The 19,842-nt window shown below is 36.9% G+C and overlaps 1 annotated feature.

Annotated features, from left to right (window-relative positions):
* Positions 430 to 1,086: an enhancer, noted in NCBI's record as "NANOG hESC enhancer chr5:66712168-66712824 (GRCh37/hg19 assembly coordinates)". NCBI's record gives its function as "activates a minimal SCP1, AML or CMV promoter by ChIP-STARR-seq in primed H9 embryonic stem cells {active_cell/tissue: H9 hESC(primed)}" and the evidence as "EXISTENCE:reporter gene assay evidence [ECO:0000049][PMID:30033119]".

Here is a 19,842-nt window from a genome sequence, read left to right as displayed (position 1 = left end):
CAATATTGTATATGCTTTGGACCCCAGAAGCCTGAACCTATGTGTGAGTAGCATTAAATATATGGCTGGAAAGACAGCAGACAAGAAGAGGTAACAACATAAACATTTACTGAGTGCTAAATATGTGTGAGGCCCAATGAAAGGCATTTCGTACAAACCACACAGAATCCCAGACCTTCCATTTCCAGCTTTGGACCCTGCCCCCTCACTTCCTGACCCAGTGTGAAGTCAGTTCAATTGAATTATGGGGCCCACAACGGAGGCTGGTTCTCAGCTACCCCTATAGGGATGAGGATAATGAGAAAGAGAAGGAATGTTTAGCCCTGCTTCAATTCCTCATTGTCTTCTACTTCCCTTCTTTGGTTGCTTGATAACATTGCATTTTATTTATAATGCATTCTTCTTTGGTTTTAATGTGCTTTTTAACATATTTCATCTGATTCTACCATCACCCTAGAAGATAGGGAGGTATTCTTAAAGCTGTTTTACATACAAAAAAACACTAAGTTTTAGAAATGCCAGGTGGCTGGATAAAACTCATAAGGCAAATAACACAGCATGATCACCAGAACTCAACCTTTATGACCTCTCACTTAGTGACCTTCCCCCTGCTCCATCCCTTGAAGCAGTGTGAGAGACAAAGGGTAAACAGACCTTCCTTCAACAACATAACACTGGGTTGTTACAAAAACTGCCTTGGGGCTTCCCAGGCAAAATCAGTGTGGCACACAGCCACAGAAGATCAAAGAAAACAAAACCACTGACATGGTAATCTTTTCTCTTGACTTTCATTAAGAGAGCATCAACAAGCAAGCCCATGGATCTAACCCAAGGCCAGTGGCAGGCACTGAAACTCTAAATCTCTGCCTTTAAAATAAATGCATGCCCTCTGGCTCCACCATCACATCTTTAAAATCTTAGTCTTTTCAACTGGCTTCCATAAGCTTTCTCCTCTTACCCCCTTCCTATAGTCACTGTGGTCTTTTTTTTTTTTAAGCCCTTTTAGAGGCTCAGGTATAATCTCCTCACATGTGAAAACCATAAAAGTTGTTCTAATGTCAAAACAGAACCACTCATCATTACTCAATTTTCTTAAAATAGAGGAAAAGTTAAAAGTGAAGATGGTCAAAGAGGCCACCTTGCCAACTTGCTCAAATTCCCCAACTACGCAAAGTTATTTCCCCTCCCTGACTCAAAGGAGAAGTTTTTTTTATAACTCAAACTGGGCCAACAGAATGCAAAAGGAAAGGTGAACAGACATAAAAAAATGAGTTCCAGAGAACATGGCCACATTTCTAGAATGAGCAGGATACAATAATTGCTTATGTATCTTCACCACTTGTTTCTTCATTACCTCTTTATAGTCAGCTTCCCTCTCACTGTTCTACTTAAAGGGCACACTTTGGGGTCTCCAATAGTCCTTCTGACAAACCAAGTTGCTTATTTTCTGTCCTTGTTCTCTGCTTTCTCTGCATGACTGCTATGGTCTAAATGTTTCTGTCTCCTCGAAATTCCTATGTTGAAATCCTCACCCCCAGAATGATGGTATCAGAAGGTGAGGTCTTTGGGAGGTGATTCATTTATGGCAGTACAGCCCTCATACATGGAACTAGTGCCCTTATAAAAGAGACCCCAGAGGGCTGCCTTGCTTCTTCTACCACGTGAGGACAGAGCAAGAAGGCACCATGGCTGGGCATGGTGGCTTACACCTGTAATCCCAGCATTTTGGGAGGCGAAGGCAGATGTATTGCTTCAGCTCAGAAGCTCAAGACCAGCCCCAGCAACATGGTGAAACCCCATCTCTACGAAAAATACAAAAAACTAGCCAGGCATGGTTGTGTGTGCCTGTGGTTCAGGCTACTCGGGAGGCTGAGGTGGGAGTATCTATTGAGCCCGGGAGGTCAAGGCTGCAGTGAGCCATGATGGCACCATTACACTCCAGCCTGGGTGACAGACTAAAAAAAAAGAAGGCACCATTTATGAATCAAAATCCTAGCCCTCACCATAAACCAAATCAACCAGGACTTAATCTTGGACTTTGCAGCCTCCAGAACTGTGAGAAATAAACATTTGTTGTTTATAAGCCACTCAATTTATGGTACTTTGCTATAGCAGTTAAAACAGACTAAGACAGTAGCCCTTCACTCCACTGACAGGCTTCAAGAGTTTCCCTTCTTGAACCTCTCCATGCCTTTGGACTTTGGGACATTCCAGGGTTTTGGTTTCTCCTTATTTCTCCACTTGCTACTTTTTTTCCCTTGGTTCTACTTACAGGTCATTCTGCTCATCCCATCCCTCATTCTGTTTTGCTGTTTTTCCCATTCTTGTTACAGCAACAACAAAAAAAGATTTAAAAGCCTATGAGCCACTCCAAATCCCATCTGAGAGAAAACTCATTTGCTCCTATTTGCAAATATAAGATGTTTTAAGGGTTGAGCTCAGAAAAGACTCTGAAGGAAGGCATGCAGATGCATTTCAAAATGCCATGCATTTTCCTTGAGTTGAGGCATGCATAATCTCAGGCTGAATGAGGTTGCCCAAGGACTCAAAAGAATTGACTCACAGAATTCACTGCCAAGATATTCCCCAAAGTGGGAACAAATAGGGAAACTTTCTACCTCTGTCATTACAGGCTACATGATGAGGACTCAAGGTTCAGAGGGCCACATGCTTAATTTTATTATCCAGTAACCAGAACCTTGTTGCTGATCAGTCAAAAGCTAAATTGATATGTAATTAAAAGCATCTTTTGCCTGTCAGCACTCCGTGATAATCAACACATTTGTCTAATTGAAGGGCAATGTAATTAAAGAAGTTTTGAATAATGGAATTAGAAAATCACAGAGGGGTGTGCTTACATATAGTGTGTCCTACTTAAACAAGGCGCCCCCAGAGTCTCTGCATGTCACAAGGCCAGGAGGAAAAGCAGTGGTCATTGACTAGATGCTGGATTGATTTAATACAAATGAAAGTAAGATTCCTTGCTTTCCCAATAAAATATTCATTGAATATTAATAAGTAGAACTCAGTAAATGTCACTTTAACAGGCTCCTTATGATTCATTCATTCAACAAGCTACCTAATTGACTGCTGAAAATGCATAGGCACTATAGGAAATCTAAAAGTAAATTAGAAATATATCCTCTGGACAAGAAACTGACAATCTAGTAGTACGATTAGATATCCTCTTAAATAACCACAATATAAATGGAAAGTAAATTATGTAAGAACCGCCCAGAGAAAATACTACGTGCTAAGATTTTTTTTTAAATATCAGTATACAGAGATTACTTTTAGTGCCAGGAAGTAGAAAGCTATGGAGGAAGAGAGAGACTAAAGAAGGAAATAACATTCGATGTGCATTTCCTATCCCAATTCATTCATTCATTTGAGAATTACTTATTACTTGCTCACAAAGTGTAAGGATGTGGGGAATACAATAGTAATAAAATACACAATGACCTACTTCCTATGTAGCTCTGAGTCTCATCAGGAAAGCACGTATCATATAAGTGATTGCAAGAACATTGAGAATCACCAAAATAACGTGGTGGGTATTGTAACCTGGCAATATTCAAGCAGTCTTGCATTTCCCCAGTGCCCCACAATACATTCTTGTGCTTCCTTTTCCCTAGCTAGGAAGCTATGGAATCTGGTTGCAGGATTGAAAATGTCAACCAACAATACAAAAGACTCTCATTTATAAATCACAGACAATATTGGTGTTTTATCTACCAAGAACCCCAGCTCCACTGAGAAAACAGGGGAGTCAAACAGACATTAGTCACTCAGCTGACCATAAATGTAGCCTAAATAAATAAATAAATACTAGATAATAATTCTCAATTAGACATAATAATACTCTACACAAAAGCCAGAAAAACATATTATGTGTTTTTATTAAACCCCTTAGATTGCTGGTAAAAGTGGCCTTATGTTGGGTAGTTGAGACAACTCATCTAGGACACAGACCCATGATTGCAGGTAATGAGAGAAGGTGGCTCCTTTTATGCCATGTAAGCTAAAGTACTCATATTCATTCATTCTAGATAGAAAAACAAACTTGTCAGCCATGGTGGCTCATGCCTATAATTTCAGCACTTTGGGATGCCAAGGCAAGAGGATCACTTGAGCCCAGGAGTTTGAGACCAGCCAGGGCAACGTAGTGATACCTATCTCTACAAAAAATAAAAACAGCTGGGTGTGGTGGCATGCACCTGTGGTCTCAGCTACTTGGGAGAATGAGGCAGGTGGATCACTTGAGGCCAGAAGGTAGAGGCTGCAGTGAACCACTGTACTCCAGCCTGGGTGACAGAGTAACACCCTGTCTCAGAAAACAAACAAGAAAGCAACAAACATCATTAATACAAACAGTCCTCAACTTACAATTGTTCAACTTAAGATTTTTCAACTTTAAGATGGTATAAAAGCCATATGCCTTCAGTAGAAACCGTACTTTAAGTAACTATACAACCATTCTGTTTTTCACTTTCAGTAAAATACTCAATAAATTACATGAGATATTCAACACTTTATATAAAACAGGCTCTGTGTTAGATGATGGTGCCCAACTGTAAGCTAATGTAGTATTCTGAGCACATTTATACCTTAAGTATCTAGGAGTAGGCTAAGCAAACTATGTGCAGTAGGTTCGGTGCATTAAATGCATTTGACTTATATTTTCAACTTACAATGGGTTTATTCAGATGTAATCCCATCATAAGTCCAAGAATATCTGTAGATCATTTTAAATATATATATTTTTTTTAATGGAGGTTCCTTTATAAAGCGCTTGTGGAATACTTTCTTAAAAAGAAAAACCCCTTTTTTTCCTGAACACTTCAATCTACTTCAAAAACTTCATGTGCTTACTTTATATATTTACTGATTTTTGTTTGTCTATTAATCTAGCAAATATTTAGCATGGTGTGCTAGACACCACCCTTGTAGTTACAAAAATGAATAAAACATAGCTCTTGCCCTCCAGTAGAAGCTATAAAATCCCAGAAGAGAAAGAAATCAACACACAAAGCTTAACCAAGGGACTCCAACAGAGGCAGGTTTTAAAGGGAGACAACGGTCATTACTGGGCCTTAAAGGTGGCCATGAGCATGCCAGGCCAAGCTAAAGGAAGAGAAGCCATAACTTGCTCTATGGGAAGAGCAATTAAGATACTTTCATGTTTAGGGCTTGATTAAATTATATTATTAATTTAATAAGACTTTTTATCCTGAGAGAGTCTTGGTGGTTTTTTATTAGAAAGAGGCTAAAAATAGAAACACATTGACTCTGGGCTTTAAGTGTTCTCTTTAAATAAAACCCTCCTAGAGGTCCCATCTTCATTCTGAGTTTCAAGGCTGATTAAAGCACTGCTTATTAAAAGCAGGTCTTCTCTATAAGGGAGGGCAAACCCTTAATTCTAAAAAAAAAAAAAAAAAAAAAAACGTGGAGAAGAGCCAGGGTATAGTAAGTGTTTTAATAGTTACACAGTTACTTACCAAGCACACCCAGAATTATCAACAAAACAGACAATTTTATGCGAGTAAACAATATGAATCAGTTGCTTTAAGAGCCCAATTTCCATAAGAGAAAGAGAATGTGTGCTTTCACAGTCATAAAATAATGACCAATGGTGTCGTCAACACTTTTCATTCCTACATATCAATATTCTTGACGAGTATCATCTGATGGAATGTATATTATTCTATCTAGAGAGGCGAATGATTTGACACAAATACCTTAACTCAGCATAGCTGAGATGGTGCTGGGTTTAAGACCAATGCTCATCTACCATTTGACTTCCAAATTAGTTCTGGACAACACTTCCACAGTGAGCTATAAATCAGAGAGGAAATGAACTCTGCATTATCTCACAACTCATGCAAAACACCTCAACTCAGTGTCACCATTCCTTCCAACACAGAGTGACCAAAGGACAAGAAATCTCATTAATTTAGTGTATTTCATGTTGAACCACTGACTTTCCGCTTGGAACTGTGGCGAATTCACCTCCCATCTCTTCCCATCCCTTAGGATGTAGGAAGTGCCTTTTTCCTTCCGCTATCCTTGCTGAAAAGACAGAACATTTTTTTGTGATCATTAATTTTTTTCTATTTTTATATATATTTGCATATATATTTCTATTTCTATATGTATATATATCTATTTTTATATATGTGTATATATCTTTTTAAAAAATATTTGAGATGGAGTTTCGCTTGTTGCCCAGGCTGGAATGCAATGGCACGATCTCAGCTCACTGCAACCTCCACCTCCTGGGTTCAAGCAATTCTCCTGCCCCAGCCTCCCAAGTAGCTGGGACTACAGGTGCCCGCCACCATGCCTTGCTAATTTTTGTATTTTTAGTAGAGACAGGGTTTCATCATGTTGGCCAGGCGGGTCTCAAACTCCTGACCTCAGGTGATCCAACCGCCTCGGCCTCCCAAAGTACTGAGATTACAGGCATGAGCCACTGTGCCCGGCCTAATTTATATATGCTTATGTATTTTAGATATGTATATGCATTTTATACACACACACACACACACACACACACACACACACACACAGACATACTGTGATGGTTAAGTTTAGATTGGCTAGATTAAGAGATACTGATAAAGCATTATTTCTGGACATTTCTGTGAGGATGTTTCCAGAAGAAATTGGCATTCAACTCAGAGGACAATGTGGGCAGGCACTATTCCATTGTCTGAGGGCTCAGATAGAGCAAAAAAGGCAGAGAAAAGGTGAACTCACTCTCTCTCTTTCCAGGAGCTGGCACACTTTTCTTCTCCTGCCCTTGAACATCAGAACTTCAGGTTCCCCAGACTTCAGACTCCAGGGCTTGCACTGGCAGCCCTTCAGATTCTCAGGCCTTCAGTCTCAGAATGAGAGGTACAACATCTGTTTTCCTGATTCAAGAGCTTTAGGACTTGGACTGAGCCACACTACTAGCTTCCCTGCTTCCCCAGCTTGTAGATGGTACATCACGGGACTTCTTCACCTCCATAATTCCATGAGCCAATTCTCCTAATAAATCCCCTCTTAGCTAGCTAGCTAGATACATGCATACATACACACATAGATATCCTATTTGTTCTGTCTCTCTGGAGAACCCTGACCAATACACATGCACACACACGTTTTTATATATTTATATACTTATATATTTAGTCTATTTTTTATTTTCTAAAATATGAATTTAAATCAATCAGTTTCACTCTAATTGCTGGTTTACCTGCATCCCACAATTTTTTTAGTTTGGTTTTTATTATTATTTAATTAGAAATATCTTAAAATTTCTCATTTTTTTACCAATATACAAGTATGCTATTTAATTTTCAGATACTTCAAAATTTTCTAAATGTCATGTAGTTATTGATTTCTAAGGTAATTCTGTTGTAGTAAGATTTCAATCTTTTGAATTTAATTATTTTATATCTCAACATATGATCTGATCTGTCTTGGTAAATGTTCTATGTCCTCTTGCAAAGAATTCTTATTGTGAAGTTGTCAGATGAATTGTTCTATAAATGTCAATTTGGTTAAGAGAGTTGGTAGTTTTGTTCCAATTATACAATTTCACATATATGATTTGTGTTGTTTGTGCTATTATTGTCATATATTTTAGAACTACACATTATAAGCCTCAAATTAATTGCTGATATTGTCAGTTATATTTTAAGGAAGTTAAGATATATTTTAATTTGATGTTGTCAGTTATATTTTAAGGAAGTTATATTTTAAGGAAGTTAAGAAATTAGAAAAAAAGGTAGTTTATATTGACTTTCTATGACATGGAACTACAGAAATTTGACCACCTGGCTTGTCAAACTAGTCTAAATGTGTTCCCGTACATGACTATCATTCCACATACGTGCCTCTCTGATAACCTCTACAGTGACATTTAGCTCATTCCTTTAGTCAAAGTGCAACTCCTTTAAAGATCAGAATCTCTTATGGCAAAGGCCATCATATAACTTATTATCTAAACTGGGACACGTTGACAGTTTTAATAATTATGTAAGCACAAGAGTCATGCAATATGACATATGGTCACCCTACTTATATCGTGCTGGTAAGGAAATAGTCATAAGATGGTTCCCTGCTTGGAGCTCTGGAGGAAGGAAAGGAAAGGAAAGCAATTCTAATACTTCTTTAAACTACTTGTACTCAGCATGTTATAGGAAAGTCTGTTACTGTTTTTTCTTTAAAGAAACAGAGGTCTGAGGATGCTTATAGATCTACCAGTTTCAAGTGGCCAGTTGTCACTTCCCTTTGGTATATTCTCTGTCAGGTTATACTTGATAGAGTATTGTGTCATGTTTTGAAAGACCACTTCACACTAAATGCAGGTATTATCATTGTGTATATTCTGCACGTGTGAGTGAGGGGATAAGGAGAGAAACAGGGAAAGAGAAGATAGAGTGAGAAAGAAAAAATACGCTTTGCCATTTTTCTTGATAGGCATATTAAGTTGATTTCATCTTTTCTCTAGAAAGTTGGAGAAATGGTGTTGAGGTCCTATTCAACCAATTACATTATTTGTTATATTGTATTCATTCATTAAGGGCTCTTGTCTGATGCAGCAAAGTAAAATCTTACTTTAAGGTTGTTGACTTCATTGTGATTAGTGTGACTACTAAGCAGCCAAAGAAGAAAAGGAAGGAAAGATCATCTGAGGACTAAAATAGTTTGTTAAAGGGAACATCTTTATACTAGTCCTTGAAAAAGATTTTATCCACATTCTGTTTAAAAGAGGTTTGCAACATAAAGCATCCCCAGCTCTCTTCTATTGGTCCCTGGCTTCTATTTAACAGTTGTCCAGAACATTTTACAGCCATTCAGCTTGGTTGCCATTGATTTCTTTGACTGAACTGAGAAAATATCACAAAATGTTCTCATGCCACTGGGGTACTAAACAGAAAGTACAATAATGTTCTTGAAAATTTTTTTAAAACCTTTATTTGTCTTATAGCCATGGCCAGATAGAAAACATTTTGTAAAGGAGAAATAAACAAATATCTTCTGTAGTCTTTCTTCTTAATTAAATGGATAAGAAACAGATAATGTTCTCCTTATGGGTAATATAAGTAAATAATTATGTATCAGTGGCAGATTTCTCACAGTGGCTTCATTGGTTTGATGTCATTCATACATAAGTAGACAGGAGAAACCTAAATGGAAAAAAAAACCACTGATGCAGTTTGGGCCAGGGAATAACATTTAATAATGCAATACTAATGCACTGCAGTGATAAAAAACAGACATTCTTAAAATTTCCAGAGCTCTGCAGCAGACATTTGTTTGCAGTATAGATATTAGAGAACCACATTTCCTTAAATTCTAGTACCATACGGACCTATAAATACTAAAGAGAACATAAATCGTCATAGCTTTATTAAGATAGTTTATGAAGATTCTATACTTAAAATTTCAATTTTCAGCAATGAAAGAGAGTGATAAACTTTCTTTAGTCTATTAATACTGATAAAAGAATGTTATTCATTTGACCTAAATCAAATACTAATTGGAAGGAACTGGAGGATTTCTCAGAACCAGGAGAAGAAAGAGAAGACAATGTAGACTAGAACCAACACTTCTTTTAGCCCTTTCTAGCGAAACTTTTCACCAGGACTTTGTCAAGAATTGGTGTCAAATACCAGTTGGCTCTACCTTTAAATATATCCAGAATCTGAGCAATCCTTATTACCACCACTGCCTTCACTCAATGCAAGTTCTCAACTACATCACCGCAACAGCCTCTTAGTGATCTATTTCCAATCCTTAGTCTCTGCAGCCTAGTCTCAACCCAACAGAGTAATCATTTTAAAAGTTAAAGCAGTTAGTTTATTTCTCATCTGCTCAAACCCTTGCAATGGCTCCTAGTTTCACTTAAAAAAAAAAAAAAAAGAAGAAGAGAAGAGAAGAGGGGAGGGGAGGGGAGGGGAGGCTACAGGAAGCACAGTGGCTCATGCTGGTAATCCCAGAACTTTGGGAGGCCGAGGCAGGAGGATCACTTGACTCCAGGATTTTGCCTGGGCAATATGGTGAAACCCTGTCTCTACAAAATAAATAAATAAATAAATAAATAAGCCAGGCATGATGGTGCACACCTGTAGTCCCAGCTGCTTGGGAGGCTGAAGTGGGAGGATCACCTGAGCCTAGGAGGTCATGGCTGCAGTGAGCTGAGATCATGCCACTGCACTCCAGCCTAGGTGATAGAGCAAGATTGTCTCCAAAAAAAAAAAAAAGTTTTCATAATGGTGTACATGGTCTACATATACTGGGGCAAAACCACCACCATCAGTCATTCAATAATCCTACCATATGGTCCAGTAACCAGGTCCATATTTATGCATATAGCAAAATAGGACACTTCCAACATCTGGATTATATGACATTAAGGAGCCAGAAAGTCTTCCTCACGTTCAAACACTTGTGCCCCTCTTGCCGATGGATAATAGAAATTCAAGCAAGAGGCTCTTTATGTCTGACCTTATCACTTTAACCTTTGTTGAATAGCAAATATCCTTTAGAGAGGCAGAAAGGTTTATTGTGAGAAATTTTATATATTTAGGGTATATTAATTTCTCATACCCTTTTTGGCAGTAAACTTTGATAGAAAAATAATATACATGCTGCAGTAAGGACAGAGGAAAATGTGATAAAATCTTATTGAACAAAGAGGCAGAACACACACAGTACAAACTTCAGCTGCATCATAATTTTACAAAGGGCCAAAACTAAAAATAATTAAAATTAAAAATTTAATGCTTTTTAAAATATTCACTATTGAAAATATTAGTACATGCTTATTGTAACAATTAAGACAAAAATAAAAAATAATTCTTACTTTCATCTCCAACTATATTTCTGTCACCATCAAGATACATTATTTTAACAGTTTAATGTACATCCTTCCCCTGAGACACATTTAAATTAAAAGTATACTTTTAATTATATATTCATTCAATACTAAATGAATTAAAACTTAACACTGAATTCCTTTTTACCATTTACTCAGGCTAAGGCTGTTTTTTTTTTTTTTTTTTTAAATCCTAGCTTTCTATAAAGTATTTGAAGATGATTATTTTATTAAAAAGAAAGAAAAAAGGGATTCAAATGCAAATGATCTTTCATTACATCTCTCACTAAGTCTGACAAACTCTAGCTTATTAAGCAATTTTTTGCTTAAGTTTGAGATTTTTGTCAAAGGTCATGCATTCTTCCAGAAGAAGGAAATAAAATGCTATTTTCCCAGTGGAAAATTTGCATAAATATTTTCCTTGTTTTTTACATTGAAAATACACTTGGAGAAATTAATGATGATTTCTGTGGTGTTTTGGACATGTCTTGCGCTCAGTAAGAACTCATTACAAATATTTCCTATAAGCCCTCATGACACATTCCTGGTTTTACAGATAAGAAAACAGGATTGGAAAATTCAAACACTTACCTGAGGTACACAGTAAGTGGCAGAACCAGCACGGAGAGACAGTTTAGTCTGGGGAGGCAGTACAGTACTATGCGGTAGTCAATAGGATGGGACTTTGGGTCCAGTCAAAATAGGGTTTGGATCTCAGCACTGCTATTTAATGTTGGATATTAGCCACCTCTGCATCATTTTGAACAATATTAACTAACATGTTTAGAATCACAATTAAGGAGCAGAAATTACCCGCAAGGAATTTCCAAAACTCAAAAAGAGAATATGTTCAGACCAATGTTTTTCCGATATATAAGGAAATGTCCGCAAAATATCACATTCAGCTTTTAATTTTTGTTTTTGTGGTTTTTAGTCAGATCTTTATACTTTCAAAATTGTGTTTTGGATTAAAATATTTTCTTTTTTTTTTCTTTGTTAAAAACAAAAGGGAGGGAAATGCTTATTTTTTTTGAGAAAATGGAAAAATAACAAATTAACAAAGTTGCTACAGTCAACTCAGCAGAGTATAACTTTATATATCTATAGCCTAGTAAATGACAATTTTGGTTTCTTGGAATCACATTAGAATATGGGAAAAGAAATAGAAATCAAGAGCATGGTTAGAGCCAGAATAAAACAAAAGTCAGAAGGCAAAGTGCTAGACTGAGATGGGGTGGAAACTAAGCAGACAGATGTAGCAGAACCATATTTAGAAATGAGAGGAAAATATCATCTCTCACTTATCCCTTCAATGAGTTTATAATCTAGGACGAGATGACAAATACGTTCTCTCATGTGTAAACTCCATCTGATTGATGGTAGCTGTCTAAAGTGTTGTGCTGAAAGGGATGCTAAGGCTCTTTTTAGGCTCTGAAAGTATTACGAAGATTCTTATTGTCTAACCTGGTCTTAAAATAGGGAATAGAACACGTATGTGATGCATTTGCTATCTCTTGGCCAGGCAGACAGAGGAAGTGGGACTAACAATCACCAGCACTTGCTTTGCATCAGGTGCTTCAGACACAATTGCTTAAATCCTCATAAATACAAAGAGGTAAAAATTACCATCTACATTTTACAGATGAGGAAAATCCTTCTCTGAGAAAATAACTGGTTACTATTTGGAGAAAGAGAAAAACAAACAATGACTTTGCAATGGAGGGAAGGGAAGGCAGTGAGTGTGTAGACGACTATTCATACATATGAAAAGTGTGAGTCAGCTATTGCCATTCAGGAAGAGCCAATGTACACAGATGTCTTCCTATCCCAGTTTTCAACATTTCTTATATTTAAGTTTCACAAATATTTTGCAGTCTAAATTGTCTCATTCTTCAAGATTTGCCATTATACTAATTATAACTTCTTTATAAATGATAAATTACGTTTCCCTTTGAAAATTATTTTAGAGTTTGAAAAGGACTTTATTCAAACTCTCTGATTACTACTCTTAGACCACAAAGAGATTTTATGACAATAGAAAAGAAAACATGCTAGCCCGAGAGTACAGACCTCATTAACAGTCTCAGCTTTATCAGTAACTTACCTGTATCTTGGATTAGTCACTCTCCCCGTCTAGGCCTTAGTTTTTCCCATAGGGGATTGGACCATGCCCTCTAAGGTCTATGTGGACTCCCAAAGCCTGTGATTTCTGTTAAGTTCAAAATGCAATTCTTACTAGAAAAAGTCAGAGAGGCTATACTATGAATAATTAATAATGCTGGTTGAAAACGAATAATAATTTTTTGGTTCCTTTTTTCAAATCATGTAAGACATTTTAAGACACAGAACATCTATTAGCTGAAAGCCCCTTGCTGGGCCTGAAGAGCCAAGGAGAGTCATTCATTCACTCAGTGTGTGTGCACTGAGCACTGGTTATGAATAAGGTGCTGTGTAAATGTGAAGGAAATTTAAAGTAAAAATGGGAAGGAAATTTAGAGTAAATTTATGTACTCTAAACTAATGACTCTAAACTAATTTACTCTAAACTAATGACTAATAAATGTATTTAAGTAACTAAAACATAAATAAATAAATAAAAAGAAACATAAGAGTCATACAGATAAATTGGTATGAAAGGTAGGAGAAAGGGTATATTACCTCTTGTGGAACTATGGAAGGGGTCAAGAAGTCTCCATAGCTAGAGCCCTGTGAGGTGGGCTTCAAAAATAAGTAAGTCTTGGCCAAATAGGGAAGAGTGTGAAGAGGAAGGTGATACAGGCAGATGGTTCACCGTAAGCCAAGCAAGGAGGTGGGAGAATGCAGTACATAAATGGAGAAGAGAAAAAAAGTCCATTTTGGCTGGGTTGAGGGCAGCAATGGTAAATGACAGTGGAAACTAGTATAGTCATCAGTGCCAAGCACAGGAATTAAAGACTTTACTTTCTAAGTTCAGTCTTTTTGAGCAGGAGAGTAAAAACCTTAGCCATCTACCAGATTAATCTGGCAGTAGGATGTAAGATGAATGCAGCTGAGAAGATCCCAAGTATGGAGAGGTCAGTGAGGAATGACTTCAAAGTCTAACCAAGAACTAACAAGTAGCTGAAGCATCATTGCAGTGAGAATGGAGAAAAAGGGGCAGATCGAAAAACTAATAATAATCACAATAAGAGCTAACATCTATTGGTGTTTACTATGTACCCTGCACTGTTCTGAGCCTAAGTCATTAGCTTATTTAATCTTCACGACATTCCTATAAAGTAAGTTTTATCATTTCAGTTTTACAGTTGCAAAATCTGAGAAACTGATTAAAAATCACCTGAGGTCACCCATTTAGTGGCTCATCTCTGGGTCTAGAGTCTTATTGCTTAATCATTCTATAATACTGCTCTCCTGCAGAAATAAGATTGACATAACTTGGCCACTGGTTAATAATCCTCTCAGGGAGTCACTGGTTGTATATGTAATAAAAAATAATAAGTTGATAAATAAAATATGTAACAAGTAAAATAAATATGCCCAGCTTACCTACAGCATTTGCTCAACTCTTTAGAAATGCGTTACCAAATGAACAAGTCCACCAATCAAATAGCCATTCCTCTCAGCCCCACCTGCCATTGATTGTGCTGTTGCTCCCCAGGTGAAATATGTGAGAAATTCTTTTTTTAATTTAATAAGGGAAAAGAGTTTCTACCTCATCCCCATCGTGTGATGGCTAATTTTATCCTTTGTGTGGCTTTATGCCAGGTAAGCCGAGGACACGGACTCAGTAGCAAACCCCTCCCACGTTTCTCTCAACCAGTCCCTTGACTATGTCAGCAACAGAGACACAGTCCTCTCCAGTTTTCGACCACAAGACCCAACTTGAGTTGAACCAGTGATTAGGAACAATGTGTCCTCAGTGAAGAACACATTGAAAGTGCCTATTTTGAAGGAATGATGCTCTACATCTACAATTCTAATTTTCCTTAATTCTCAGAGGTAACCATGATAGTTGTGAGAATAGGCAATGCCCACCAAGTGACAACCTATCTGCAGTCCATATTTATGCTGCTACCACATCATTTTCTCTTTCATTTATTTCATTGCTTTTTGTTTACTTGGCTGTCAGTAACGATGCCTAGGAATACAATAACATAAGCAACAGGAAATTCTGGGGAAAGGAAAAATGTCAGTGACTAAAAGTCAAAGATATTAATATCTAGAAACTGAAACAAAATGCCAGTTATTTCTCTATTTTTAAAGAATAGGCCTTTGTTGGGCACCTTAGATTCAATGCTCCTGTTCTGAGTTGCTCTCTTGCATCTGCATTCCAGCTGGTGGAATTCAATGCAGGAAAGGGCACAGTTGCCATTTGATAAAACACATTTAATTCCCAGCAGGAAAAATTAACTGTCTTCACAATACTGCTCTTGATGTAAATATATTGTTTTTTGAATTCCAAACACCTACTAATTTGCTTTAAATTGCCCTAATAATAATCATTGCTTAAAGTTACAGCAGTGAAACAGCTTCTGCTTTTTGCAAACCTAATTTTGACAGCAGGTGCCTTTTATGTCCTTGTAATTTTTCCTATAAAGATCATTATCCCTTAATTGTAAATTGCAGCTGCTTTGAGGGTATTTTGGTTCATGATGATGGTTTGATTGATTATTGAAGTTCCAATCCCACTGTGCTAAAGAGTCTAGTCTGTTGGGATTTCCAAAAAGCAGCATCAAAATCTTCAATGTCAACTCACATTAGTTCACTCTGTCACAAAACTGTCAGCCATGAGGTGACATTGTTTATAAAACACAAAGATGATTATCTTTTCCTTTTTTGTCAAAAAAATTTAAAAAAACAAAACATTTGTATGTGGCTTCAAATGATATGTTTCCTTAGCTTCTTACTCAAAACCAGATATGCTTTTGGAGTAAACTAGTTTAGACAAAGTGTTTTGTTTGAAGGATATTATTATATTTAAAGAGGAACAGGATTTATCTAGATTTTAAGGAAAAAAAATATGAAGATGGTAATATATTCAAGACTTTTCATGTTTTAAAAAGTAATAATACATAACCTCTTAGAAACTCAGTTTTGCTATGTTCTCTAAACTGTGTGATAAACATAAAAGGGAACAGATGTGTTAATTATTCTTGAAGCTCATCCAATTTTTACGTCGAAGACTCTGTAGCTACATGTCTATCTACATTTGTTTTTCATCAGAGACAGGGATGTTGAGTATGTTGATCTCAGAGACATTCTATCCTCTTTGGGAGTCTACCCCAACAGAGGATAAACATATAAAATTGCCTCCTGTCCCAGTCCCATTCCTTTTCCAACTTCTTAAAGAGATTTAGCTGTGTGACCTTTGGCAAATCCCTCAACTTCTCCATGCCTCAACTGCCTCATCTATGAAATTGTGCTAACAGTATAACCTGATTTTGTGCAGACCAAATGATATAACCTACTTTACATTCTTAGAATAGTCACTATCACACTTTAAGCACTCAAATAATACGGATTATTTTATGTTCATTATTAAATAACTGCATATCCTTATTGAGCACACTCTCGGGACAGGCACTCTACGGGGTGGAAGAATGAAATATGATCTCTATCCTCTAAGGGTGAGATCAGAAAGCTGCAGCCAACTGCAGCATGTTTTTGCTTGGTCCCTAAGCTAAGAAGGAATTTTATATTTTAAAAGGTTTTTTTAAATTAAAAAAAAATGAAGAAGAAGAAGAATATGCAACAAATACATGTAGTGGCCCTCAGAATCTAAAATATTTGCTGTCTGGTACTTTACAGAATACATTTTCCAAGTTTTGGCTCTGTAGGGAGCAGAAATGTCCTGGTGAAGTAACTAGGAGAAGGCTACAATCTTTCCAGGGGCAATAGGGGGAAGAGAATAGGAGAGGGGAGGGAAGAAGTCACATAAGGTTTTAAGAAGAGGTTATATTTGAAGTAGGACTTGTGGACTTGTAAAGTAGGTCAGATTTCATCAACATGAGAGGGAAACTAGTATAGATAAAGAAAAAACAAATCATAAAAACAATAGAGTGGTATATTTTAGGAATTCTGGCTAATTGAGTATGACTTGATTATAGGTGCCTATGTGTGTAGGAGGTAGTGTGGGTGGGAAAGGGGAGAATTAATGGTCAAAAATTAGGGTGGAAAGAGCCATAACATAAAGGGCCTTAGATGCTCTACTAAAGATTAGAACTTTGGTTTGAAGGTAAAGAGTTATCACCAAAATTTTTTAAGCAGGACAATGACAAAATCAAAACAGATTCAGAGCAATAATTCAAGCCACAGTACACAAAATAAATTATGAAGAAACTTTGGGTCAAGATTGAATAACAGGAACCAGATTTAACATTCTGCCTGAAACAACAAAAAAAAAACCCTAGATAAAAAATATAAAACAAGTTTTTCAGAAATTGACAATAGGCATTGCCAGACAGTGACTCCTGAGAGAGGAGAACAAAATGAACTGAGCCCTACTGCCCAGATTCCCATATGGAGAGAAGTTCCAGGCTTTAGCATAAGAGAAGGAAGATATAACCCACAATGAAGGGAAAAAATATCAACAGAAACAGACTCAGAGATGATAACTGTAACAGAATTGGTTGACAAGTATATTAAAAGTGGTAGCTATATTCCAAATATCCAAATACTGAAGTAGAAGAATGCTTGAGCATGCTAAATATAGATATAAAAGTTTTTTAAGTACCTAAACTAAACCTCTAGAGCCATGAAAACAAAAAAAAATAATGCTGGAGATGGAGAATAAACTAGATAGGAGTAACAGAAGGTTAGACACTATTGAAAAATTATCAGTGAACCTGAAAACATAGTATAAATATAGTGACCCCCCCCCCTCCACCATTGAAATGACTATAGTGAGCTGTGGGAGAACTTCAGCCTTCCTGATATGCATGCATTGGAGTCACTGAAGAAAAGAAAGGGAGAATGGACAGAAAAAGTATTTGAAAAAATACTGGACAAAATTTTTCAAAGTGGATATAAACTATAAACCCACAGAATCAGAGTTAAATGGACCCAAGCATAAGAAACATGCGTAAAAAAACACTGAAGTTTATGATAATCCTCTTTGTTTTAAAACAGTGATAAATAGAAAAATTTAAAATCAGCCATAGGAGGAAAATTACACATTACATACTGAAGATATAAAAGTTGAAGAACAAAGACCAGAGTAACAGCAGGATTCTCCTTGGAAATAATGTAAGGCAGAAGGCATTGAGAAATATTTTTTAAAAGACTGGAAGAAAAGAAAAAAACTATCACCCTGGAATTTTATACCCAGGAAAAATATTTTTCCAAAACCAAGATAAAATAAAGACTTTTTCGCCAGGCACGGTGGCTCACGCCTGTGATCTCAGCACTTTGGGAGGCTGAGGCGGTCGGATCATGAGGTCAGGAGATCGAGACCATCCTAGCTAACCCGGTGAAACCCCATCTCTATTAAAAATACAAAAAATTGGCCGGGTGTGGTGGCGGGTGCCTGTAGGCCCAGCTACTCAGGAGGCTGAGACAGGAGAATGACCTGAACCCAGGAGGTGGAGGTTGCAGTGAGCCGAGATCGCGTCACTGCACTCCAGCCTTGGCAACAGAGCGAGACTCCATCTCAAAAAATAAATAAATAAATAAATAAATAAATAATAAAATACAGACTTTTTCATAACATAGAAAAGCTGAAAGAATTTATAATCAGCAGCCCCATAGTATAAGAAATGTTAAAAGAAGTCTTTCAGGATGAGGGAAATTAATACCGGATGGAAAGCTGGATATAAAAGTAATGAATAACACTGGAAATAATTTTTTAAAATTCTTTTTAAATGTTTTTTAAAAGATAATTAAGGCCAAAACAATTACAATGTGTTATAGGATTTATGACATAATAGAAGATATATGAAAACAATTCCAAATTAAAAATAGAAAGAATTCTTCAGCCTGATTAAAGACAGCTACAAAAACCAACAGCTACATTATATTTAATGTTGAAAGATTGGCATCAAGAACAAGGGAAAAATGTTCTCTCTCGTCCCTTCTATTTAACATGGTACTAGAGATTCTAGCAAAATTGATAAAGCAAGATGGAGAAACAAAGGAATCCTAATTAGAATGGAAGAAGTAATTACGCTGAGTCAAAGAATTTAGAAAAAAAGAGAACACTCCACTTACATTAAATTCTAAAAAACACAAGCCATCTATTAAAAACCAGATCAATAATTGCCTGGGAATGGAAGTATGTGGAGAGGAGGGGGAGGGAGAGATTACAAAGGGGTACATGGAAACATCTGAGGATGAAGGATATGGTTATTATTTTTATTGTGGTGATGGTTTCAAAACTCCTCAAACTGTACACTCTAAATATCTGTAGTTTATTATATGCCAATTATATTTCAGTAAATCTGAAAAAAATTGCAAAAAGTAATTACAATCAGGGTTGAGATGCTGAGGCAGGAATTCATTCATCTAGGAGATAATGACATAGAGAAGTGAAAAAATGATTAAGAACAGAGCTACAGAGATAACTTTGGGAATGAAGAGAATACACGGATTTAAGATTTCCTTCTGAAGTTGAATGGACAACTGGGCAACTGGGTGTATAGTGTAACTATGAACAGCATTAAGGAACATAGGAGAAGGTTCTGATTAAAGAAGAAAGACAGGCCGGGCGCGGTGGTTCACGCCTGTAATCCCAACACTTTGGGAGGCCGAGCCGGGCAGATTGCAAAGTCAGGAGATCGAGACCATCCTGGCTAACATGGTGAAACCCTGTCTCTACTAAAAATACAAAAAAAAAAAAAAAAAAATCAGCCGGGCGTGGTGGGGGGCGCCTGTAGTCCCAGCTACTCGGGAGGCTGAGGCAGGAGGATGGCGTGAACCTGGGAGGCGGAGCTTACAGTGAGCCGAGATCACACCACTGCACTCCAGCCTCGGTGACAGAGCGAGACTCTGTCTCAAAA

The sequence above is a fragment of the Homo sapiens genome, chromosome 5 (assembly GCF_000001405.40).
Source record: "Homo sapiens chromosome 5, GRCh38.p14 Primary Assembly".
Classification (NCBI taxonomy): domain Eukaryota; kingdom Metazoa; phylum Chordata; class Mammalia; order Primates; family Hominidae; genus Homo; species Homo sapiens.
Note: the sequence above shows the minus strand (reverse complement) of the source record. Positions and strands in the feature narration are given on the sequence as shown.